This window comes from Homo sapiens, chromosome 18, assembly GCF_000001405.40.
Source record: "Homo sapiens chromosome 18, GRCh38.p14 Primary Assembly".
NCBI classification, from domain to species: domain Eukaryota; kingdom Metazoa; phylum Chordata; class Mammalia; order Primates; family Hominidae; genus Homo; species Homo sapiens.
Window position 1 is genome coordinate 8,029,056 of NC_000018.10, and position 27,628 is coordinate 8,056,683.

Here is a 27,628-nt window from a genome sequence, read left to right on the forward strand (position 1 = left end):
GTATATCCTACATGGAGGCTGTGGTAACTTCCTGTCTGGTTCATTCATATGGGTTCTCTCACCTCAAGATCAGTTTGACCACCCTGACATACCTGCCTGCCTGGAGTTCCCTCCCTCATACCTGTCCTGCCTGGAGTGCCTCTCCTCCACCTGTCCTGCCTGGAGTGCCCCTCCCCCACCTGTCCTGCCTGGAGTGCCTCCCCCACACCTGTCCTGTCTGGAGTGCCTCCCCCACACCTGTCCTGTTTGGAGTGCCCCTCCTCCACCTGTCCTGCCTGGAGCACCCCTCCCCCACACCTGTCCTGCCATCAGTGCCCCTCCCTAACACTTGTCCTGCCTGGAGTGCCCCTCCCCCACCTGTCCTACCTGGAGTGTCTCCCCCACACCTGTCCTGCCTGGAGTGCCCTCTCCTCATGCTTGCTTGGCCACTTTCTGTCTACTCTTCTAGTCTTAGCTGGAGTGTCACCTCTTTTGGGAAACCATCCTGTGCTGGCTCCCTGCCACCATCCTCCCACATCCCCACTAAGAATTCCTTCCTTCCCTCTGTGTACTCTTTTGTATCTTGTATATGCCTCTATCACTGTCCTGATAAACATCTGTCATTCTCAGCAGTTTACATGTCAGTCTTCCCCACCAATGTGAGCTCCTCGAGAGTAGAGATTGTGTCTTATATACTTATTCAGTTTAGTATCTCCTGCATCAGTATAGTGCCTGGCACACAGTGAGCCTGCAGGAAATACTGGCTAAATTGAGTGTTTTCCTCCTGATGTCTTCCCAATGTCCACAGGATGAGATTGAAACTTTCCTGCCCCCTGTGTGATCTGACCATCCGTGTGGCTGAGGTGGCCTGTCTGCATGCCTCGGCCCTGTGATCCAGTTGCATTCCGTGCACCGCAGCCTTTTGCTACTGATGTTATCCTTGCCCAGATGTGTTCCTTCTTTTTCCCTGCGAAGTAAACAGCGCAGACCAATCCATTCCTTTAAGCAAGAGCACAGGTGCCACCATCTTTAAAAAGCGCACACAAGTCGATGCCAATCTGTGTTATGTCTCTCTTCTCAGAACCTTCAAGGAAGATACTGCATATGCTTTGTACAATACAGTGTGGACATCATATGCCATCTTTATTCACATAGTCCATGTAGATTACATTCATGCCTACCATAAAAGAAGACACTTTTTGAGCATAAAAGTTGTACCTTATACGTCTTTAATTTTCCCAGCAGCACTGAACATAGTTTGAGGTCTTAAGCTGGGTAACAAGTAATTGTTGCTGTAGGCAGAAAGGAGTGGAAAGTGATTTGAAAGCCTAGGCCCTGAAACTGGTTTCTCAACATGACTTCAAGGGAGTGTCCAATAGTTCTTCCCTCATCATGGTCCGTCAGTGTGAGAATTTGCTCAAAACCATGCATAAGGAATACTATGTCAAAGTGACTGTGTTAGTGGCATTTCTTAGTGCGTGTTCCGATAGTAATAGCCTGTGGACCTTGGGCATATTTTGAAGTTCATCTGTCTATTTTAGTATAATACATTTTGAAATATTAAGTTCTTTCAATTCCATTATTGAAAACGTTTTGTCTGTTCTGTGTAGAGCACAGATGGGATCCCTCACATGAGGTGTCTTCTCTCAAAATGTATGTGAAGTAGCATCAACTTTACAGATAATCCAATGACAACATGAGGTGGTTCAACTGAGATTCTTAATACGGTGACAGGTACACAGTAGGTCCTCAATATGTTGATTGATGAATGAGATAGTTATTAAACTTTTGAAAGATTCTTTATATATGTTTTATATAAAAAATCACAAATTCTGTGTCATAAAATCTCACAAAAGATGAGTTTCTACGATTAATGGTAGAATAAAATGCCTGTGTACTACCCAAAATTTTCCTAAATTTCAACGTTGAATACTTGTGTTTTCTTTATACTTTGGATCTTTTTCTCCATTTTTGGAAGAGTGTGCGCTTGTTTGTATTTTACTCCCTCCTTGGAAAACGGTTGCCCATTCATTTGATCTTTGAGAAATTTAAGCAATTACTTAATATTTATTTTTGTCTTTGCAATTTTGGTGTAAGTTTCGTGTTGTATAGGCTATTCGGTAGTAAACACTTTAGTTAGCACATGCTAATCACACTCTTAAATCTTCACCCACTTGAAGATAACTGATGTAACCTACTGGAAATTAAGGCTGTAAATTTTCGGGTAGAGATTTCAGTGTTGCTGCAATCAATACTTTGCAGATAGTGCTAACAGCTTTTTCTATGAAATATGTTGGCTAGTGGGTGGAAAATCAATGTCTGGGAATGAAAAACAGGTGTCAAGTTTGATAGGGACATCATGCGTTTGATATTTGGAGGCCAGAGGGGCCTGTCAACAAACACGGCAATAATTCCGTCAGATGCAGTATGTGTGGAATTAATAAAAATGCCAGAAACAAAGCAGTCTGGACAGAAAGCTAGTTCTGCAAAAAAACTCAGGGCAAAAATGTATCTTACTCGTGCACCTTAAGTGAATGAATTACAGAAAGACATTGAGGTAGAGTTAAAATGAAGGCACGTTTGCAGCACTATAGAGTCTGACAGGAGAAAACAGTAGGCAGAGCAGTAAGAGGTAGCCACACCACCCCACTCAAAGGGACTCTGCCAAGTGTCCAGCAGATGTGTGGAGATATGACGGTTGCTGTAATAGAGTGCTGTGATTTAATTTGGAAGTCACTGAACCCAAGCAAATCAGCAGTCTTTTCTAGGCCAGTCAAGCTTGGCCTCATTCAGGAGTTGGTGAAAATGATGAAGGCCTGAGTTAGCCAAGAAGAGAGAAGGAGCAAGGGATAAACAACTGAAGACACATTGATCACATGCAAAACACTTGCCAAATACAGTGACCATCAGTGTCTTACAATAGAAAGGATGCACAGTTATTCAGTATTAGGGAACTATTTGTCTATTCAATAAATTAGGGGAAAAATAATGTTGAAAAAAGGGGACAAAATTATTAGTCATCGTTGTTCATAGTATTCTCTTCCTGGAAAATGTAGAAGAATCCACTGAAAATCAATTAAAACTGTTACAAGAGTCCAGCAAATACATAGTTACAAAGTAACATATGTAAAAACCAGTAACTCTGGAGCCACATTGCTTGGATTCTAATTCTGGCCCTACTATCAGTTATGCAAACTTGGGCAAGTCTCCTTATATTTGTGCCTCAGGTTCCTCATGTGTAAAAATGGGGATTGTTATGCATATGAAATAAATTATTATATATAAAACTTCATAATACTCCCTGTTACACAGTCCAACATAACGTTTCCTCTTATTGTTGTTTCCACTGCTATTCCTAGCTTTCCTATAATCTTCATAGAAAATGTAATTAAGATTTCATTTACAGCATCAATAAAGAGTATACAATACCTAGGATAAAATCTAACTAGAAATACTACAATAAATGGAGGAAGCCTTTATATTTTAGAGATGTCAGTTCTCCCAAGAGTAATCTACAAATTTAATATAATTTCAATTAAAATCCCAAAAAGAATTATGAAGACTTGCAAAATATTTTTAAAGTTTATTTGGAGAATTATGGGCATGTGAAACTAATAAAAAATAAATTGAAACAGAAGCATTCAGGAGAGGATGATTTGCCCCCATCATATATTTAAATATGTTATAGCTCAGTAGGATAAAAATAGAAAATACAAGCATATTAAATTTAGAAAAGCGGCATTTCATACATAGGTAACCAGAAATGAGTTATTTACTAACTGGTTTGGGGCAGCAGAGTTATCATTTGGAAAAAAAATACAGTTAGATTAACCCCCTATAGGTTAAGGTTTAACCCCATAGAGATTAAGGTTTAACTGAAACAGATGAAGCCTTGGAAGTACTAAAAAAAAGGACAGGCAAATATTTTTTGTAGTTTTGAGCATTGAAAAGCCTGAGATTCTTCTCAGTATGATCTCAAAATTCAAAACCATTAAATAAAAGATTGATGAATTTGACTACATAGTTTTACATCTATTCATATAAAAAATATTTTTAAAAGAGAAGGACAAATGACAACTTAGAGAAAAAATTTAAAATCTGAAGTAAAAATAACTTCAGTCTATTATAGGGTCTTAAAAATCAATTAAAAAATGAATACTATAATATAAAACTGGGCAAAGGATTATAACAGGCAATTTGTGAAAACAGAGATAAAAATACTTATTAAACATATTTTAAAAGTCAGTACCAGCTCTAAGCACAGATGTAACTATACATATGTACTATACATACACTGTATGTATCATGACTATACACTATATGTATAGACACTATACAGTCATGTGTCACTCAACAATAAGGATATACTCTGAGAATGTGTCTTTCACCATTTCATGGTTGTGCAAACATCGTAGAGTGCACAGACACAAACCTAGATGGTAGAGCCAACTACACACCCAGGGTATATGGTGTGGCCCATTGCTCCTAGGCTACAAACCTGCACAGCATGTGACTATACTGAATACTGAAGGCAACTGTAACACAATGGTATCTATTTGTGTAGAAAAGGTACAGTAAAAATGCGGTATTGTAATCTTATGGGACCACTGTCTTATACACAGTTTGTCATTGACCAAAATACCATTCTCTGGGGCATCACTGTATAGATTTGTTAACGTCTATCAAACCGAAAAGTTTGTTTTTAAATGATAGTACCTGAATTATGGACTGATAACCTTTTACTAGTTATTGTAACAAATTTCTAACTTCCTAACATGAACTTTATAACTTAAGGCAACAGAAATTTATTCTCACACAGCCTGCAGAAGTCTGAAATCAAGGTGTTGGCAGGGCCGTGCTCCTTTCAGAAGCTTTAGGGGAGATTCCATTCCTTGCTTCTTCTAGCTTCTGGTGGTTCTTGCCACGTGCTGGTTCATTGGTTTCATCACTCCAGTCTCTGCCTCCATCTTCATGTGGCCTTCACTTCATTTGGTTTTCAAATCTCCCTTGTGTATCTCCAGAAAGGTACAGATTATTGGATTTAAGGTCAACCCATGTAATCTAGGATGATCTCTTCATCTCTAGATCTTTACATTAATTACCTGTGTAAAGTTTTTTTTTTTTCCGAACTAGGTCACATTCACAGGTTTTGAGACACAGACTTATCTTTTGGGGAACCACTACTCAGCCAACCCTCTGACCCCAAAACATGGTCCTCCAGCCCATGTGTAAAATACGTTCACCCTATCCCAACATCTAAAAGTCTCAACCCACTATAGTGTCAAATCTAAGTCCAAAATCCCATTTAAATATCTTCAACTCAAAAGTACCAAGTTTCATCATCTAAATCATCTGAATCAGATATGTCTGAGCCTCTGGGTGTGATCCATCTGTGGGCAAAATCTCCATTCATCTGTAGACCTGTGAAACTAAAAAAAAAGTTATCTGCTTCTAAAATACAGTGATGGGACAAGCATAGGATAGACATTCTCATTCCACAAAAGAGAAACTGGAAGGAATAAAGGGGCCACAAGACCCAAGCTAGTTTGAAATCCAGCAGATCAAACTCCATTATATTTCAGAGCCTAAGAATAATACTCTGTGGCCCAGTGCTCCACTCTGGGCTCACAGTTCTGCCGGCTTCTGCTTCTGGGCTCAAGGCTCTCCCCTAGGGATTGTTTTCCTTTTCCTTGAACAATAGTATATATTTTCAGCCAAGTGGCTCTATCAGCCTGTTTTCTTCCTGTAGAATTCCGGAAGTCTAACAGCCTTCCTTCATCTCATCCTGTCTCTGTCCTCATTCTGTCCAAGCTGGTAGTGTTTGTGCTGATACAACATTTTCATAAGCCTAGTGGGTCTCCTGTGTATGTTAGAGGATCCAGGTCATTAGACAAGAGAGGCCTCCATGGAATTTTCAAGGATAACCCCATTCTTATTCCTGGCTTCTGCTGACATGGCTGATTGGATCCATGAGTCACACACATAATCCCCTTAGCAAAGGGCTGTCCAGCCATTCCCTTGACCCTCTCTCCAGAGCACCTTTCCCCACAGTGGACAGCCTAATTTTAATATCCTTTGCAATCTGGATAGCCGAGAATCTTCCAAACTATCAAATGCTGATGTCTTTGGCTTAATAGTTTCTCAATTCGTCTCTTTTCCACTTCCATTTTATTATAAGCAGCAATGAGAAACCAGGCTGCATCTTCAAAATTTGGCTTGGAAATTTCAGCTAAATTGAATAAAAAGTTTAATTCTTAGATTTATTCTATCTGTGAAGAAAAATAACCTGCAAATCATGCAGAAAAAATATAATCATCCCTCAGTATCCAGGGGGGATTAGTTCCAAGACTGCCCCCCTCCTCCCCACCAGGACACCAAAATCTGCAGCTACTCAAGTCCCTGATATAAAGTGGTGTGCCATGTGCACACCCTCCCATAGCCTTTAAGCCATCTCTAGATTGTATATATTACCCAATACAATGTAAATGCTATGTAAATAGTTCTTATACTATATTATTTTTTATTTGTATTATTTTTATTGTTTTTTTCCCCCAATATTTTTGGACCGAGGTTGGTTGAATCCGCAGATGCAGAAATTGCAGATACGGAGGGCTGACTGTACCTATAAAAAGAGGACAGATCCCATGTTACGTGTTCTCTCCACAAAAGAAATAAACACAAACTGGAGGGGTACAAGGAAACTTTTGGAGATGACAGACATGTTTATTACCTTGATTGTGGTACAGGAGCACATGGATATATGCAAATTCATCACATTGTATACATTAAATATGCACAGTATTTTGTATCTCGATTATTTTTTAACAACCCTGTTTTTTAAAAATTGAGGTTCAAGGTGAATAAGGAAATAAGCTACTTGAAATGATTTTATAATACTGACATATTTATTATGCCTCAGTGTATATCTTACTGAGTATCTTAGAGCACCTATGCCTCAGTAAGAATGAGGTGTCAAAATGGAGTAAACACTCCAAATATTATTGAAATACAACAAAGAAGGATAGTTTCAGGCGGAGTAGCCACATCATGCTGGAGGTTGCATCAACTGGTGGTGGTTACTGTGAGAAAGGAAGACTTGGAGGATCATGATAGCTCCTCACATGGCGTCGGGGTAACTCCGGGGAACAGAAGGATAAAAATTATTGTGTTTGGTTTCAAAGTAAAAATGAATTGGTTCAAGGAGGCTGTTCTGGCACAATAGAAAATGTTCTACACTCTGATTTGTCCCAAACAGCATCTACTGCCCCAAGGCAATGCATGCTGAGACAGAAGGCAAAGTAACCTTTTAGAGATTTTTATAGAGGTGCTTATGCGTTGGGTAAGTAGTTGTATTAAATTGTCCTTCATTCCTTTTTAACACTAAAACAGTGGGAACCCAGGCTGTAGGTAGAAGACCTCTTTTTCTACTCAGTTTCTCTAGCTATATAAGTTCCTCAAGGGAGGAGGATTGGCTAAGGTGCAAAAATGGTAAATTGATAGTACTTTGTTCCCAAGTGACTATTATTTTGACTGCAGCACACAATGAATTTTTGTGGACAGAATGTAATGTGTGGGCACTCAGCTATACACAGATTAAAAGTTATGCTTTCTCAGAGATGTTGTTAACCATGGTTAGATTTAAGACCAGTTTGCAGAACCAGGCAAATCTCTCAGGCACTCTCTGACTTCTGCACCATTTCCTCCCCTGTTACCTGAGCTCCTGCAACATTGAAGACTTAATTTGGGCGCTTCGCTTGAGTGCACATGTAATGTGGGTATATCCAAATTGGATATGTGTTGTTGTGGCTCAAAGATGGCCTTATTTACAACTGATGATGTAAATACAGTTTTTCTCATGTCCACAGTGGCATAAATTTTAAATGCAGGAAAGTTGCTGTTTACTGGGTGTTTATCGGTCCTAAGGTTTATGCTTAATGAACTTCCTCTGCTTCTGAACTGGGATCATGGGCTCCTTGTTTTATGAAAGAAATCATTCCCTAAGCAAATGAGTCTCTCAGCCAGAAATGAATGATCTGGACAGAATGATCTGGTGTTGTTTATAAGTAATATATGAAGTTGAATAAAACATCTAAGATAAGGAGAAAAGTCTATTTTTAGGGCTGTCTTCTCAGACTAAAGGTTTCTTCAAAATCCCTGTGCTTTTTCTTATAGTAGCTTTGTGGCCTCTCCTCACACTTAATACCTTCATTAGTTACAATTAGCACATCTTTTTCTCATCCACTTTACAGGAAATAAATTTCTTATATCTTTACTAAATTCCAGGCTCTCAGAAATGTGTTTGTGAGGAAAAATATTTTCTGCTTCAGATAATGGCTTCTTTAGATGTTTGAAAAGTCTCCCTTTCCTTTTTAAACGTGATTTTACTATTTAATTAATGAGACAGTATACTGTCCTCCTTCTGTTGCTGATTCAACATCTTAAGTGTGAGAAGCCTATATTGAGTTAACTGCAGTTATTGAAAATACCCATTTCTCTTGAGGTACTAAATTGCTCATTTTGAGAAATGAGTCAAATGTATATATGAATAAAACAGTCTGAATTCCTGTAAATATACTTTCTCTAATATCCTAGCTTCACAAATCTTTTAGTTTCCAATCCTCTGATTATTTTTTTTTCTCAGTCCAATTCTGATTTGTAAAATCTTAAGTGAGTTAATTTCCTTAATTCTGGGGTGCTCTCTAAAGGCTGAGTGTGGATTGGGTGGTAGAACTCTGCTAATCTGCAGAAGACAAGGTCTGAGATCGTGATGGACTAGTAAGAAATCCACACACCCAAAAAGCATATGGAAGGGTGCAGAGGTGCGAGCCATAGTGTTGTATGTTAGCTCCTGATCAGTGATGTTTATCTAATAATTTTGGTGTTTTCCTCCTCTTTATGTGTCACTCTTTGACCTTGAACATGGTTCTACTTTTGCAGTTCTTATGGTATATTAAAATTATTTATGTTTGACTGCTGTAATAGACTCTGAGCTTCTTGTCTTTTCATGTTTATATCACCTCTTAACTTATGGTGCATATTCAATTATTATTTATTGAATGAATGAAGATGTCTCCCCAAATACTACTTGTGAATCTTTTAGAATAGAGACACGTGGCTATCTCTGTCTTCCACTGGACTGTGCTCTAACCCTGGTATCTTCAGATTTACCCCTGAAATGGACTTGATCTCTGGAATTTAGAACAAAATTAATTGTCATATTAATCATATTTTCATTGGTTTTAGTGAGAAACAGTTGAGAGGGTAGGAGGAAGACAGGAACCTGTGCAGTTTTAAAAACCCAGCTTTCTGGGTTTTGTTTTTATTTTTTCCTCAATTAGCTTTTAGATTTTTTTTTTTTTTTTTTTGGTGTTATTTGAGACAGAGTCTCACTCTGTCGCCCAAACTGGAGTGCAGTGGTGCAATCTCAGCTCAATGCAACCTCCACTTCCTGGGTTCAAGTGATTCTTGTGCCTCAGCCTCCCAAGTAGCTGGAATTACAAGCGTGTACCGCCATGCCTGGCTAATTTTTGTATTTTTAGTAGAGACGGGGTTTCAACTTGTTGGCCAGGCTCATCTCCAACTCCTAGCCTGAAGTGACTCACCCACCTCGGACTTTCAAAGTGCTGGGATTACAGGCGTGAGCCACTGTGCCTTGCCAGCTTTTTAGGTTTTTAAGCACATAGCCGTATTTCCAAGCATCTTATAGTCACAGTGTTCATAGTATTTCCAGCAGCCCTTTAGTCAGCCTCTTGATTGTTATTATGCAAGTCTCTGTCTTACCCCTACCCCAGTTTTAATTCTGGAAACTGCAACATGATTGAAGTACGCACATAGCCAGAATTGGGATAGTTGTTAGAGTTAGTTCTAGGAGCATAATCCATAGTAAAGCGTTTGGAACATCTTGAATTGGTCTGAATATTAGTAAATAACTGGAACTATTTTCAGGGGTTTTTTTTTGCCAGAATTATATTAGAGAAAACCTGATACATTTTATGATTTTATGCAACTCAGAAGTAATTACCAAATTCATAATTCTGTAAGAGATTTTTAATACTTGCATTATTAGAATATACCAGATTTATTATCTAGAAACCAGCCTTTGAAAGTTAATAAAATGCAGTTGTCAGAATTGCAAATACCTGTTAAATCTTATATATTATTTTATATGCATATAAACCATGCATAAGAAAATGAAGCTTCATAAAAAGTTGTAGGAACCTTTACAGATTACTGTATTTCTCTCCTCAACAATATAATACTTGTTCAGATTTGTTTTTTAATAAAAATTAAAGGAGATCCATCTTAATCTTAATATTTCCACAAAGTTTAAATGTTGTTTTAGAATCATTGCTTTTATACTTGTTTTTCTTAAAAATACTTAAGTATACCAGTTTAGAATACTGTTTGATTCTATAATAAGTATTCAAAAAATGGTAGGGATTATCTTTATTATTTAAAATGTGGTATTTGATACCTGCTAAGTTCCGTATTTTTCGTTTTAAACATTTTTAAATTGACAAAAATTACATATGTATGGTATAAAACATGCTTTGAAATGTGTGTACCTTGTGGAATGGCTACGTTAAGCAAAATGATATACATCACCTCTCATACATCATTTTTTTGTAGTGAGAATACTTAAAATCTACTCTCCCAGCGATTTTCAAGTATAGAATACATTGTCATTAACTACATTCATCATGTTGTACAGTAGATCTCTTGCAGTTATTTCCCATGTCTAACTAAAATTATAGATCCCTATTTATTATTTTCCAGGATAGAAGATTTTTAGAGGTGACAGGCCATGTAGATAAGGCTGGAGAAGTTCTTGAACCTTTAAAATTATGAGAAGGACCTTTTCATATGCATGGATACCTGGGCCCTGCTCAGAAATAATTGAAAACCCCAATTAAGAAAACAAAAACCTTTTCAGATATATTGCAAACAGCATATTGTAAACCAATAGAACAAGTTACGGTTAGACATTTCAAATATTTTTTGTTCTTGGCTTTACCAAAGAAGTAGTCATTTTATGAGATGGAAGAAATGAAGCCTTTCAGGGTTGATTTCCCCAGAAGTAGATGATTGGATGCATCCCATGTGAAGACTTCTGGGTGTGTTGTGTTTGAGCATGTGGAGGGTAAAGAAGTTCTGGCTGGCATGCTTTCTTAGAGTGTCTACCACATATCTATGCTTGTTATGTGCAGCCAAGCATGAAGCCTGTTGTTCTCACTCTCATCCTAGTCATCTTCCCATTGAGAATTATTTTTCTATTTGGGTGATTACCCAGGTCCAGGGGCACTAATCCTGCTTCCTGTAGGATGGTTGGGTATGACAAAGTGTAAGGTTGCATTGGGCTCATGGTATGGGTGCAATTATTAAAGTTATGTGTCAAATCGAAGCTGATTTGAAGTTAAAGGAATAAGGTATAGTTCAAGGTCATTGAAAGCGGTAAGATTTAAAGAACAGAATCACAGATTTGTTTGTAAACAGTGATATGTATTTTTATGTGAGGAACTAGAAAAAGAAGGTTCAGTAAAAAACTACAAGTGAGTTTCTTGTCGTTTGCTACCTTTTAATCTCAAGTTTTTAAATTTTCACTTCTGTGTTCTATTGTGCCTTGTTGTCAGATATTTAAAACAGTAAACATATAATTGTTCGATGAGAGAGCTATTTCTGTTCATTCTGGACCTGGATGCACTGAGCAGTTCAAAGTTTATTTCACCAGTTTATCTGGAGAATGTTGTTCATTTATCAGTTTCTGCATTTGAGAGTTAACTTGCTAAAATTGATTTCATCCTATATTCCTTGGCTCAAGTTGATTACACCAATCAGAATCTCTCCATTTTTAAAAAATTAACTCTGCTATTTAGCCATGCAGCATTAGTTGATAACATTTCTTTAGCATATATTTATGTGACCATGCAGTCTTGTCACTTGGGTTCAGTAAAGTCTTGTCTCGCATTCTCCATTTAGCCAACATTGTTGGTGGTAATGACTTGGAATTAATGCAGTTTGTCAGCAGCTATAGAATGCAGTGATAGCAGGAACGTCCTTCTACATCTTCTTCAGACTGATGTATGAAATAGCATATCCCATTTATTTCTGTACCACATTATAAACAACATCTATGCCTGGCTTTGCTCAAGGATGGAGCTACTAACATCTGTGAAGATTGATACCATGGTTTATCATTTTACCAGGTGAAATTCATGGCAACCTTAAAAGCCTAAGCCAAGAGCTTAAAGTATTGCTCAGGTGTGGATCATGGATTGGATTAAATAGTGCCGTGAAAGCCATTTTACTCTTTCAGCTCCTTGGTGGTATATAGACACACACTTGACATTTGGTGGGGCTTTGAAGTTAATTAAGGCATCATTAAAGGCATGACTTTGAGTTAGTCTGCACTGAGATGCACCATGTGTGACCAAAAGAAAAAAAAAAGGCCAAGCATATTTGTCATTTCTACTACAGTGTGGTTATATCTTCTTTCTTATAAGATGTGTAAGCAATGTCCTGCAGTGTGTTTGTGCAGCATTTATACCCAGAACTTCTTATGAAAAGCTGGCCATACTATGATTAAGTCCACTTGTGGTTGGGATTCAAAGTCCCCACAGTAGAGCTTGAGTTGGCTTAAGCAGATGAACAATCGTCAGACTTAGTTACTCTTTGTTGACTTACATCTGTATTGTGGCACCTAGGGTGCAGTGGGGCAAACTGTCACTGCCACAAGGGTGAAGTGAAAAGTATATGTCTATACTCTTTTATCTTTCATTTATCAGCTAGACACATGTTTCCTTCATGCAAGGGAAAGAAAATCACAAGGGCCCATGCTTGTCTCTCTTTAGAACTCTCTAGAATTAGCTTGTCATGAAATGTAAAACTAATGTGCAGTTGTAAAAACTGCTGCCAGCTTTTTCCTCACTGCAGGCTGATGGCTAAGTAGATTTGGAAATGAAAGGGGTTATTATAAAGTGATTACTGAATAGCTAGGTATGTCATCTTAAACAAGCAGCTAAAATCTCTGTGTTAGACATTCAGGCTGTAGTCTTGTTTTGTATCATTCATATTTAAGATGATTTTGATTGTGGAGGAGTAATCAAGCACTGGGGTAATTTAAGAAAAAATATATACTGAGTGATTTTTTTCATTGCTTATTAAAATACATTAGAATTTAAATGAGGCATTCTCTAAAATGTGTAACTATTAAGTATGTACCAAATATAAAAATCTGAATAGCAGTTGGCTTTAGTTCAGAGTTAAAAATTCTTCACTTGACTAAAAACGTATTTATCTTCTTTTAAAATTTAAGTAAAACGTATTGTAAAATAATATATTGAAAATGGCATATATCAAAGAATGAATGGTTTAAAAATTATAACTCTTAATATCTTATTACTGTCAGTTTCATATGAGAGGGCAGATGCCTTGAAGAATCTTAAAAGAAAAACAAAATTAAAATAAACTGCACTTTATTACAGCAAATGCGGTCATTTTCAATATCCTTCTATTCTTTTTAAATGCTTTTCTTGGAATTGCCATCTATGTTGCTGGCTTGAACAATCACATAACCTCTGACTCCTTCTCCCCTACCCTTGAGCTTCAGATCTAGTGTAAGTGACATGCTGGGTGTCCTTTGAGGATATCTCAAGCAGCAAGCAGTGGGAGGCATCTCAGCCTAGGCTCTTGTCCCATTGTCCCCTGTCCTGGCAATACTGCCTTCAGTTTGAGCTAGCTTTTTGGGTGTCTTTTTCCTGTCCCTTTTCCCACCTTCCTGCTGTACACCTGCCCAGCTAATTGATCACAGCCCATGGATTGTTTCTCATGTTGCCATTTTCTTGGTCCAGGCCTCATGTACTCATCGCCAAGACAGTTCCCCCTGTAGACCCTCCAACTCCCCCTTTTCTGCAGGCTTCCCCTCTTCACTCCGTCTCAACCGCCTACAGCTGCTTATTGTGTCTGCTTCCCAGGTCCTCAGCCCTCTGTTCCCCACAGCTGGGCACACTGGGCTCAGTAGGCATAATCCTGTACTGTCTTCAGGCCCTTTGCTGACCTCATGCAAGGGAGATGTGAAGAGAACATACAGCTCAGCACCTAGTTCCCTTGCTTCTGGTTCCTGTATAGCCTGTTTTATCTTGGTGATACATGAGGAGATCAGATCCTAACTTATTAGCCCTACCAAGCAACAAGGTGCCTGTCTATGGTGGTACCTGGCCCTCTTTCTTAGTAGTATGCCTAGTATGTGCCGCAGATTCTAGTCCCTGCCTGGGAGCTTCTTAGTCACTGGTAGAATTTCTTAATGTTAACCTGAAGCCGCAGTTTTAGTCTGCTGCCCAGACAGGCTGTGTGATCCCCTGACATTATATCTTCATCAATATGGTCCACTCTGCCTGGATTGTTTCTGCCCTCTTTCAATTATTTGGTCCTATGGTAGTATCTTTATTATATGCTTGCTATTCTAAGTTTACATTAGAAATGAGACTTGAGTGTACTGATGCTGTTTTTTTGAGGTATGCTAGTTAGGTATTTTTTTTTTCACTTCTTTTTCACGTTGTTCTCCATGTTGGGAGGAATGTTTATCCTACAATCCTGATGCTTCCATGGAGAAGTCAGGGCCACCTCCCCAACCCTCTTCCCTCTCCTGCTTCCTATCAAACATAAACAAAGCTGGACACTAGTTAAAGTGATAATTATTGAAGTGGGGAAAAGAGTCCAGCATGATCTAAGGTCACCCTTGATCTGTGCAGAGAGGACTGGGCATTTATAAATGAGAATGAGGGAGTAGGAAGGGGAGGGGGCGAGCTGGGTCTCAGGAGAGTCAGGGAAATGAAAAATTATAAAAAGCAGAAAGGGAGGGTTAATCCATGTGAAACCATCTGGGTTTGTTAGCTAGTGCTTATAGAAGTTAAGTTTCTACTCTTTGGCAGAGACCGGGCTTCTGCACCCTCTAAGACTGGGAGTCAGGGAGCCCTATCTTCAAGTGATTGCCACGGAACAAACAACAAATTCTCTGTCTGGAGTTTTCTCAGGCAGGCACTCTCAGAGGGGCTAGGATCATCCTACAGATGAAGCCTCGAGCTTTTAGAAACTGTGTTAGTGTTTGTTCAAGTCTTTATAGGCCAGGGTTGAGGCCTAGTCAACAAGAGAGCTCATTGGGGCCTGACAAGAGTTTGTTCAAGGGGAGAATCTTGGTAAGCTCTCACTTCACCCTATGAGAAAAATGATTCATTGAATAGATGACATTTGAAAAGGGAACCGAAGATATTCAGTCTGTTTCTTCTGGGCATTGTCCACGGGACACAAATGCTCTTTTCTGCAACTAGAGGTAAATTAACCATCCCTAGGTGGGAGTGCAGAGTGCTTGGATCATCTAGTGAATGGAGGATGTGTAAATATGACTCAAGAGTGGATTCACTACGCAGTTGCAGTAATCAAGACATGCGGGCACAATGATAAACATGTTGTGCCTGTAATCACTTTGGGAGGCCAAAGCGGGCGGATCACCTGAGGTCAGGAGTTCCACACCAACCTGGCTAACATGGTGAAACCCCATCTCTACTAAAAATACAAAAGTTAGCTGGGCATGATGGTAGGTGCCTGTAATCCCAGCTAATCGGGAGGCTGAGGCAGGAGAATCGCTTGAACCCAGGAGGCAGAGGTTGCAGTGAGCCAAGATTATGCCACTGTACTCCAGCCTGGGTAACAGAGCAAGACTCTGTCTCAAAAAAAAAAAAAAAAAGAAAAAACAGAAAATAAAAACAAAAACCATGAGATACAACTTTATACCCACTAGGATTTCTATAAAAAAATATGGAAAATAATAAGTGTTGGCCAGGATGTGGAAAAATTGAATCCCTCGTATATTGCTGGTGGGAATGTAAAATAATACACCCACTTCATAAAACAGTCTGACAGTTCCTCAGATGGTTAGACAGAATACCATCTGACCCAGTAATTCTACTTCTAGCTAGGTACCCAAGAATATACCTAGCACATGTGAAAACATATGTCCACACAAAACTTGTATGTAAGCAGGGCATGGTGGCTCACGCCTGTCATACCAACACTTTGGGAGGCCAAGGCAGGCTGATTACTTGAGCTGAGGAATTTAAGACCAGCCTGGGCCACATGGTGAAATTCCATCTCTAATAAAAAATACAAAAATTAGCTGGACGTGATGGCATGTACGTCTGGTCCCAGCTACTCAAAAGGCCAAGGTGGGAGGATCACTTGAGCCTGGGAGGCGGAGGTTGCAGTCAGCTGTGATCGCACCACTGTACTCCAGCCTGAGTGACAATGTGAGACTGTCTCAAAACAAAACTTAAACACGAATGTTCACAGCAACATTTGTCATAATGGCCAAAAAGTGGAAACAACATATAGTTCTCATCAACTGATGAATGGCTTAACAAAACGTCGTATGTCTACCCGGTGGAATATTGCCTGGCAATAAAGAGGAGTGAAGTCTGCTACATGCTACAACATGGATGAACTTTGGGAACATTGTGCTGAGTAAAAGGAAGCCAGTTACAACAGACCACATTTTGTATGATTCCAGTTATATGAAATACCCAGAGTAGGAAAATCTGTAGAGGTGGGAGGTAGATTAGTTATTGCAAGGGCACAGGGTGGTGATGGTTGTGGGAAATGGGAGTGACTGCTAATGGATGTGGAATCTCTTTTTGGAAATGTTCCAAACATAGATTGTGGTGATGGTCACACAGGTCTGTGAATGTACTAAAAACCATTGAATTGTACACTTTACATGGGTGGATTTTATGACATATTAACTATAGCTCAAAAAGATGTTGAAAAAAGGGACTTAAGTGAGGAAAACTAAGAATGATTGTAATAGCAGACTTCCACAAATCAAGTCTTTTTTCTTCAGTCGCATATGTCAGTAATTGATGTGGTTTGGCCGTGTCTCCACCCAAAATCTCATCTTGAATTGTAATCCTTACGTGTCAAGGGTAGTGTCATGGGGAGGTAATCGGATCGTGGGGGCGGTTTCCTCCATGCTGTTCTCATGATAGTGAGTGAGTTTCACGAGATCTGATGGTTTTATAAGTGCTTGTCATTTCCCTTCTGGCACTTATTGTCTCTGCTGCCACCCTGTGAAGAGGTACCTTCTGCCATGACTGTAAGTTTCCTGAGATCTCCCCAACCGTCCAGCCATGCAGAATTATGAGTCAATGAAACCTCTTTTCTTTATAAATTATCCAGTCTCAGGTATTTCCTCATAGCAGCATGAGAACAGACTAATACAGTAAAAAAGTCTGATATTAGTGAAATCTTCACTTGTCTAAAATCAGTAGGTATATGTATCTCTCAGTTGAGAACCTGAAAGAGAAGACAGTTATTTATTGACCTTCTAAAACCTCCACATATTAATGCATAGCTGAGTATACCACTTACCCTCTGTGTATCTTGCATCTATTTTCTATCTTGTATCCATCCTGTGTCAGCACTGTTGCGTTGATGTTTTTAAATCAGTTCCCAACTTGCAGCAGGGGAGGGAGGGAGCGGTCAGGGACGAAGTATGATTCCCTATCCCAGCCCCTCCCCAGGGCCCCAGTCCGTGTGTCTCTGGGTCCTCCTTGATGTGGTTTCCGTGCTTGAATCTATTACATTTTTTTCCATGACATCATTTATTCTCCCTGCCTTCCCCTTCCTCACAAGAAGATCTAGTTTCAGGGGCCAGCATTCCCCAGTATTCCCAGTGTGGTCAGATTGACTTTGTGCAGTTGCATCATTCATGGCATAAATGAGATATTAATAATACTATATGGCTGTCCTCCAGACCCATCCATACTCCTGGACCTCCAACTCAAAGCTAAGCATCACCACCTCCCCACACTTGCTCAGGGAGTGTTCCCCGCAACATCTGCCCACCATGTACTCTTGCAACAAGGTATTAATAAGCGAGAAGGTGTCTAGAACTTCAAGTGACCACTAGACCAAATAAAGGTTTTTTCTTAATTTGAAAGATTTGATTCTTCCCTGAGAATTCAACTTCAGAAAGAATGAACGAAACTAAGACTTTTTAAGTTATTTATCATATCTATAACCCATTAGAATTAATAGCTGTAGATCCTCATGAAAATTTTTAGTTAATTTTCAACACGGTAAGAATCATGAGCATTTTAAATTAAATGGAACACTAGATGGCAAATGAATGCTTTACCTTATTAAGATGATTCAATGTATTCCATAGTTTTTAGGCCACTTCTAAGCAGTATTTCAAGGAAACATACTTGGTAGTAATAAAAAAAATTTTTGTGGCAAATAAACAATTAAAAATGAAAGATATGCACATCAAACTGTGATTCATTTTTATAAGTTTAATGAAGAATTAGCTATATGATAATTCTTATTTTGTGACAGTTACATTGTTATTGTATTCAAGAAAGTAATACCTACAAAAATAGCAAATTTTGAAAAAGAAGATAGCACCAAAGAACAAAAATGTCTTGTTTTATATCAGTCACACAATGCACTTTCTCTAGGTGTTAAATTAGTAATACAGTATATGTGTGTACATGTTTCCCATTCAGGGATTTGTGACCAGGTGGAATGAGGGTGGTCTCTGAGTCACCTGGAGAGCTTTATAAAACTCCACCTTACCCTCATCCCCAATAGTGCTCCCCAGCCTCCCACCAAGATAGCTGAATGTCAGAACCTAGAGGGAAGAGGGTAAGATGGGTGTGGTACGTGGATGAATTGGCCAGGGACTCCTGGGGCTGTGCAACCCACACTCTCCTCATGTTGGTGGACTGTGAAGATCAAGGATGTCTGGAACTTTTTCCAGTTGAGTGCTATGGACTTGAGACCAAAGTTAATTTGGAAAGGAAGTTTGGGGTAGCCATTCATAAATACATGTAATAGACTCCTCTTGAAGGACTACGGAACAGATGATAGGCCTCCAAGAGTGTTAGAGTAAGTGAGTATGAATCCGTCCATTTTCAGTAAATAAATGATTGATTCCCTGGCTTCCAGGAAAACAATGAAAAACATCTACATTGCCTTTGTATTTTTTAAATCAGCAAATTGAGCTTACTCAGATTACCTTAGGCTTGAGAGAGATAGAAAAGTATTGCAAAGTAGTCTGACATTGGTGGGAAAATGGAGTTGATCCCACACAAAAACTATGTTTAGGGAAAAATTGACATTAAAATGGAACAAATTTGGTAGCAAAATAAGGAGATAATTCAGCAGAGAGGTAAACTGCTCTTTATTAAGGAGCAAGCTTTTTTTTTTCTTAAGTTGTTTTATTTGTAACAGAAATAATTTCAAGTTAGAACCTGTATTTTCCTTCTTTCTATCTTTTTAAAATAAAAGTGGCGGGTTCATTTTTTCCATAGCATACCTCCTCCTGCCCTGCCATTCCAGTTGTCAGTGGGGTGCTGAGAACACACTCTTCTATTGAAACTGAGTTTTCTGTCATCTCATTCCCCAAGCTTCCCTGGAAGATTAGCAGGATGGAAAACCTAGGTTTAAAATAAGAACTAACTTATCAATCATAGGCTCTTTTAAATTGAGGAAGTCTTTTTTAAAAAAAAAAAAAGTTGGTAGTGAAAACACAGAAGAATAATTACAGTATAGCCATCAATCTAGCAGAGTTGAGTGTGGTCTTTTGTGAAACCATTTGCGTAGACTTGTAAACAACTTCAAATAGAAAACTATCTAATCATAAGAAGATTGTAAATACCAAAATAGGAGGCTCTAAACAGGTAAAAATATTTTAAGTAACACTTATCTGCTTAGTATTAACTAGAGGTAATAGTTACATTTGGGCAAAACTGAAATTGTATTTGATTCACTTTTTTCATCACTAATTACATTACTTCTGTAGCAAAGAGTGAATGGTTTGGGTTCTCTTTTGCCCTGGGTAAAATATCAGTTCCGGGTAAAATATCAGTTCCAAACTTCCAAGGCTTTTTGTGGATATCATAGCTTTATGAGGGTTACAAAAGGTCAAAACCCATTCCAAACCAATTTTTGACAGTTCTGAAAAACTCTGTGAAAATCATTTTGCCTCCTCCTGTTTTATATAGTCTGAAATAAATATCAAGGAAGTCTTTCACTGCAGACTCATATTTGTTTCATACAACAGTTTCCTTGTAAAGTTCATCTATAGGATGAATTGCAGCCTGTTTGTTCCACTGTATAGAAACAATTCAAGATTCTAATTTTGAGTGTAGCAGTGGTGCTCCTTCTATAGTGATGAACTTTACACTTTGGAAATGTCACCAAGGAGCTCAAGCAAAAACCGAACAGTTCCAGTGGTGAGTGAAATCCTTGTTTATAGTGCCTGTGTGACTTCCTTAAAACAGAAAAGCACAACAGAGATGTGAGTCACAACACAGAAACTTGGAAAGGCTTTTCACAGAAAATAGGTAAATACTGCAGAAAAGGAGATATTTCTAGAGTTGATTTATGAGACAAAGAGTTGATTTATGATCTAAATGTTCGCTATATATTATATTGTGCTAGTATCCTTTTACCAAATATGTTGATTAACAAATGTAGGCATTTTCCAGGATAAAGATTCATGTTAATGGGATGAGATATGTAACTTGATGGTTACAGAATGCAGTAAGACATAGAGAAACATAATAAACATATATATATATATACTGGGATCTTGACCATGTGAGTCCATGAAAGTCTGTGAGGTTTTTTTTTTTTCTTTTTTGAGATGAAATCTTGCACTGTCGCCTGGCCTGGAGTGCAGTGGCGCAGTCTCAGCTCACTGCAACCCCCGCCTCTCAGGTTCATGTGATTCTCCTGCCTCAGCCTCCCGAGTAGCTGAGACTATAGGCACACACCGCCACACCCAGCTATTTTTTTGTATTTTTAGTAGATACAGGGTTTCACTATGTTGGCCAGACTGGTCTCAAACTCCTGACCTTGTGATCCACCCACCTCGGCCTCCCAAAGTGCTGGGATTACAGGCATGAGCCACCACGCCCAGCCAAGTCTGTGAGTTTTTATTGCAACTAAGAAGGAATAGTCATAAAGGGATTTGATTTTGAACCAAGACTGAAAGGAACTGAAGGCTACTTTTTGGCAGATTAAAAGGTGGCTGCCACTGTATGCATATTGGATCAGTCTGAACAGAGATATTAATTTTGGAGGGAGAACCTTATTTGAAGTACAGCAGATAGATTTGCTTGACTGGTATGGAAAGCAAGAAGGGTTCTGTGATCTCTTTGATAGTTGTGACGTAATAATGGAAAGGCTTTATTTCGGTCAGACGATAAGAGCATGAATTAGAAGTCCTTTGATTGTTGCAGATGAACTGTCACATCAGGAAGGCATTCTGGCAGTGGCTGGAGGGACAGATAAGTTAGCGGGGAGTAACTAGACTATGAACCTTGGAGAAAATGTAGTTTAAGTATGAATATGAATATGAATATTGAACTCTGATTAGTGAATAAGTGGTATTAGTTTCCTGAAAAAAAAAAACCCTCCATACACTCATACACTCCTGTCAACATGCATACCTCATAGTACATTCACTTTCGTAGGCTTGATTCATCATAAGTTCTGAAATTGTTAATTATAAATATATTCTCTAAGGACTTTCAGTGTGCACAGCATATACGTATATCAAGTAGAAAGTGTATCTTTTTATCATGAAACTTACATAAACATAAACCTCGTAGATTTGTGTATTTTTGTGGCAGTTTTCCAACAGATGAAAATAAGTGTCTTGAGGAAGGAAGGGGCGGGCTCTCTTTTCTAATTGCACAGAGGTACAATGTGGGTTAGCTGTGGCCTTGGATGGTAACCTGCCTGACTGCTCTCTTCCTCCTGATGTGACAGCCCTGAGTTCCATTTCATATCTAGCACTAAGTTTCCAAGAATGAGATTCAGAAGTTTGGGTGAGGGGAGGGGGAGCAACAACTGTACCCAAGTGTCAGAGCCAGGCTGCACTCAGGCCTGAGGCTCAGCTTTTAGGAACCAAGGTCTAGTTTCAGGGATAAGAATATTACTGGTAGGAAGCCTATTACTGTGTGTTTTGAAAGAGGGGGCTTTGTAATTCTTTTCAAGTCACAGGACTCCATCCCGTGGGGGTATCTGTGGAACTGCTGAATCTTTAATGACGTATGATCTTGCTTCCTGTAAGTTAAGTTTGCCTGGTAGTAACCATTGTACCTCTCTCAGAAGAACCAAGATATACTGTTATCCAGAAAAGAAATCTCAAAGAGCCAACAATCTTTCTAGGATATTCATGCCTTTCCTATAATAATGTTTTCTGAAGTTATGTAATATTTGATACAAACAAAAGGACATACGTAACCTACATAAATTGTGCAGCATAACAATAATCAACTTCCCATCTTAAAAACAGAATACTTCTAGAACCTTTTCCCCTAACTGTAGTCTTCTGCTCATTTTATCCCTGTGTCTCCAGAACAGAGGTAGCCAATATCTTCATTTTTATGTAAATTTTTCCTTTGCTCTTCTCTTACATTGTTATTAAAATAGTTTTATCGCATACGTATGTATTCTTAAACCATTTCCTTTTGCATGTTTTTCAGGTTTATAAGATTGCATCATAGTAGTCCTGTGGGACTTGTTTTTTTAATTCAATATAATGTGTTTCTGAAACACATTATAGCTCATAGCCATAGCTAATTCTGTAGTCTAACTTTCCATTGTAGGGATATTTATCTGCTTTTGGCTCAGTAAATATTTGGATTGTTTCCTTGCTTTTCTTTTTTATTCTTTTGACAATAATGCTGGTAAAGACATTTCTGCACATGTCTCCTGGAGCCCAGTGGGAAGAATTTCTCTAGGAATGCATTTTTCAAACCCTTTAGATGCAGCATGAAATGTATTTTCGTTGTTACATGGTTATTACATGATACAATCCATATCTTTTAAAATCCATTTTCATGTTTCTTTTCTATTCTCTTTCATTAAAACAAATGCCACTGTGATATGACCTAGGGATACAGCCTGCACTCTGAAAAAACACTCCTCCAAGACAGAACTTCTCCAACTTCAGTGTGCAGGTGAAGATTCAGCTTCAGGAGGTCAGAAGTAGGGCCTGAGTATCTGCATTCCTAGTAAGCTTCCAGGCGATGCTGCTGTGCTGGTGTGAGAACCAACACTATTTTGAATAGCAGGGCTCTAGGCTCTTTCTCAAATTTCTCTGATGACAAGAATCACCCAGGCTGCTTCTTATGATACAAATTCTGGGGCTTCATCACAGGCCCAACAAATCTAAGTCTCTGGGGATGAGGCCTAGAGAGTTTTATAGGGTCATGTGTTGCATAATGACATTTTGGTCAACCGCAGACCACATATACCACTGTGGTCCCATATGATTATAATACCATGTTTTCACTGTACCGTTTCTATGTTTAGATACAAAAATAGTTACCACTGTGTTTCTGTTGCCTACAACATTCAATACAGAAACATGCTCTTCAGGTTTGTAACCTAGGGGCAGTAGGTGGCACCCTATAGCCTGGGTGTGGAGTAGGCTCTACTGTGTAGGTTTGGGTAAGTGCACTCTATGATGTTCACACAATGAAATCACCTAACAATCCATTTCTCAGAATGTATCTCTGTTTTTGGGAGATGCATGACTGTATTTTTGAAAATCTGCCAGGTTATTCTTCTAAGTGAAGGAATACTATTCTAGGATTTATGCCTAAGAATATAACAGCTGGATTGTATTCTAAGGTTAGCTTTACAAGATGATGCCAACTTGTGTTCCATAGTGGCTGTACCAATCCCACTCTCATTAATGATGTATAACACATTGCATTGATCTACATTCTGCCAACAATCAGTATTACCAGACTTTCTAATTTTTGTGAATCTGATTGGTATAGAATGGAATTTACTTTGACTCTAATGTGCATTTCTCAGATTAGTATTAAGCTTGAGCATATTTTCACGTTTGTGGTCTATAATTTTCCTCTTCTTCAAAAGTCCTGTTCTTTTACCAACTTTTCTTTTGAGTTGTCAGCTTTTTCTTGTGATTGGTGGAAGTTCTGTATATAATCAATATCTCTCGTTTGTTTAGTGGTTGCCAATGTCTTCTATTCTGTGCTTTGCCTTTTACTTTTCTACTAAATACCTCTTTATATCATTTGTCTTTATTGTGTTTGGTTGTTTTCCCTTCTTTACAATAATAAGGTTTTAGCTTAGGTTTTCACTTTCCTTATGATACATTTTGATAAATATGTTCTTAATTTTAGTGTAGCATAAATTATCAAGCTTTTCATTGATAGTTGGTGCTTAAGAACTATTTCTTTGCCCTGTAATCAGAAAAAATAATCCCCTACATTCTTTAATTTAAAAAATTAAATTTGGGTTTTTGTGCTTCTAATTGAGTCAGAATTGATTTTTGTATATGATACAGAGTAGGAATCCACTTCTCCTAGCACCACTTGTGTTTCCCCCAGGAATCAGAAACACCACCTCTATCATATAGAACATCAGGATTTCTGTTGTGCTCCATGTCTGTTCTTTCAGCAACACCACACTGTGTAGTTACTGTAGCTTTTAAATAACTCTTGGCATCTGATAGAACAAATTTTCCTACCTCATTCTTCCTACGGAGTGTTCTGTTTGGGGACCTTTGCACGTCTTTATTTACTTTAGAATCAATTTATCAAGTTCCTTAAAACTCTAATTAGGTTTTAATTGAAATTGTAGTGATTCTATAGATTAGCTTGGGGAGAACTGACACCTTTACCACATTGAGTCTGCCCATTCATAAACATGGTATAACTCCAATTATTTTGGTCCTCACTAATGTCTTTCAATGAGGTTTTGGATTTTTATCTGTTATTGGTGTCTTGTAAGATTTATTCCTGGGCTCCTTATATCATTTGATCTTGTTGTAAATGAAAAAAATTCAGTAATGTTTCAGTTTGATAATATACAAAAAATGCAGAGGAGTTCAAAATTAATCCCCTATTTGGTCACCTTGCTGACATTTGCTATTTTTGTATAACTTGTAGGTCCTGCTTGTTTGCCAAGCCTGTCACATTGTCTGTGTATAATTAAAGTGCTGTTTTTTCTTGTTTCATTCTTACACTTTTCATTTCTTACTGTACTGAATGGAACCTCCAGGAAAATGTTATAGTGAAACAGCTTAGATTTATTTTTTGTAAACAGATTATGGCACGATGTTGATTTTACCTTTAATTCTCTGGGCATTTTAATAGACAATATTTTATTTACATGTATTGTCATTACTAGTATATACTAGTAGTAATATATACTAGTAGTAGTAATATATATATATATATATATATATTACTACTACTAGTGGTAGACTTCTGTGTACCACTTTTCTGTTTGCTTTCTGGTTTTTCCTGTTTTTCTACATTTCCCCTCACCCCTTGCCTTTTTTCTTTTCTTTTGTTTTTTTCCCATAATTGACTGAAATAACTTTTTTTCTTTAGATGAGTTACTTGTTACTGAAGGTATTATCCTATGGCTATCTGTATAGTGATTACCCTAGAGAGTTTGCCTTGCATACTTAAAGTTTATAGTTGATATCTTAAACTTCCCTTCCCAGTGATGGAAAGATCTTACAACACTGTAACTCTGAGCATTGCCCTACCTGTGTGTATGCTCTTGTTGTCGGCAGTCTAATTCTGTATATATAAAAAGCTCTAAAATTAGACAGTATTGTTATTTTACAAACATAAGTTTTTATGTTTTTTTGCTCACCATTTCTTCTAGCATCTCAGACCTTCTTTCAAAACTCATTTTTCTTTTTGAAGGTGATCCTTTATTGCAGGTTCATTGGTAGTAAGTTCACTCAGGTACAATTCTTTGAAATTAGCTTTATTTTGTCTTGATCCTTGAATGATAGTTTTGCTACGTATATAGTTCTAAGTTGACATATTCATATTTTCTCTTTGTACTTTGAATATTTTGTTCCCTTGTTTTTTGCCTTCCACTGTTGTTGTCTAGAACTCTTTGTTCAATCTGCCATTACTTTGTAGGTGATGTGCTTTTTCTCTCTAGATGCTTTTGAGATCATCTCTTTGATTATTTTGGTGTTGGTGGTTTAACTACATTATGTCTAAATGTGGAATTTAATTTTTCTATCTTTTGTATATGTTATACTTTCTGTATCTTTTGACTGATATCTCTTGTCAATTCTGGAAATTTCTCAGACATTATGTCTTCAGTTAGTGCCTCTCCTCTATTCCCTGTGTTCTACTTCTGGAATGCCAATTAGACATAGATACACCCTCTAATTTTGCCCTCCATCTTCCTTTCTTATTTTCTATTATGTTCCTATTTCTATTTTTCTGTGCTACATTCTAGATAATTTCCTCTGATCCATGCACTACTTCACTAATTCTGTCTTAAGCTGTGTCCAATCTTGCTGTCTAGTTTTATACAGTACATAATTAATGTCCTATCCATTGAGGTTTTTGTTTTATTTCAACAGTGTTTTTATTTCTAAAAGTTACGTTAGCTGTTTTTAAAATTGGTCATTTTCAGTGACGTATTACATGTTCATTTTTAGAATTACATTTTTAATTTTAGAAGTGGCACGCAAATTTTATATTCTGAATCTGGTAATTTGAGTGATGTGAATCTGTTGTTTCTTATCTCTTTTGACTCTGTCAGGGCATCTTGTTTTCTGTTATTTTTGTTAATCTTTACTAGTGAGCTTATATTTGGGTGGGCTTTATTTGTGAAAGTAGGAGGCCTATATTTATGTATCAGTGTGTTTATAGAAGATTTGTATTTGTGTTTGCTGGAATCAGGAGATGGTACTGACTGCAGATACTTTACACACTGTTATTCGTATGAGATTACCTTGAGAACATCATATTTGGCTTCCCTGCCCCTGGCCCATGGCTTAATCTTTGGATGCCGGTGCTGATATAGACAACTAGAGTTCCACCTTACCCTTTGTTTTGGATAAGGGACATGGTGTAAGGTGTTGCTGGAGACACACTACATCCTACGCAATTAAAAAAATTGTCTTATACCGGATCTAGTTGTTTTCAAATGGGAGAGTCCTTGAGAGTAAATGATATGCCATTCTGTTATAATCAGAAATTGTAATAATTACTTTATGGATGTATTCTTCATTTATTAATTTATCTAATTATTTGATGAGTCTGAATATTTTGCTTTCATACAAACACAATAATAATATGATATAATGAGTGGTTGTTGAGAGAAATTCTTAACATAAACCTTTGTCAAATACAGTTGCTATAGCCAAAGAAAGAAATAGTTCTATGTATTGTAAATCTCTATTTGAAATACTATGCCAAATAAATGATGCAACTCATAATCGCACATTAGGGCTGGTTGCAGTGGCTCATGCCTGTAATCTCATCACTTTGGGAGGCCGAGGCAGGTGGATCACGAGGCCAGGAGTTCGAGACCAGCCTAGTCAACATGGTGAAACTCCGACTCTAAACTACAAAATTAGCCAGGCATTGTGGCAAACACCTGTTTTCCCTGCTACTCAGGAGGCTGAGGCAGGAGAATTGCTTGAAACCAGAAGGTGGAGGTTGTGGTTAGCTGAGATTGTGCCACCACACTCCAGCCTGGGCGAAAGAGTGAAACTCCATCTCAGAAGAAAAAAAAAAAAAGATAAATGCACATTAGACTTTGCTTATTTACATTTAACTGGAAC

The 27,628-nt window shown here is 38.0% G+C and overlaps 1 protein-coding gene across 36 annotated transcripts in view, besides 1 other annotated feature; it reads left to right on the forward strand.

The window, feature by feature from the left end:
- The window catches only part of PTPRM (protein tyrosine phosphatase receptor type M), an 839,541-nt gene that overhangs the window by 461,740 nt on the left and 350,173 nt on the right, over nt 1-27,628 (forward strand). The gene's annotated exons all lie outside the window — the stretch shown is intronic.
- Nucleotides 16,350-17,549: an enhancer, noted in NCBI's record as "P300/CBP strongly-dependent group 1 enhancer chr18:8045403-8046602 (GRCh37/hg19 assembly coordinates)". NCBI's record gives its function as "activates an origin of replication core promoter dependent on BRD2, BRD4, P300/CBP, MED14 and CDK7 cofactors, with strong dependence on P300/CBP, by STARR-seq in HCT116 cells {active_cell/tissue: HCT116}" and the evidence as "EXISTENCE:reporter gene assay evidence [ECO:0000049][PMID:35650434]".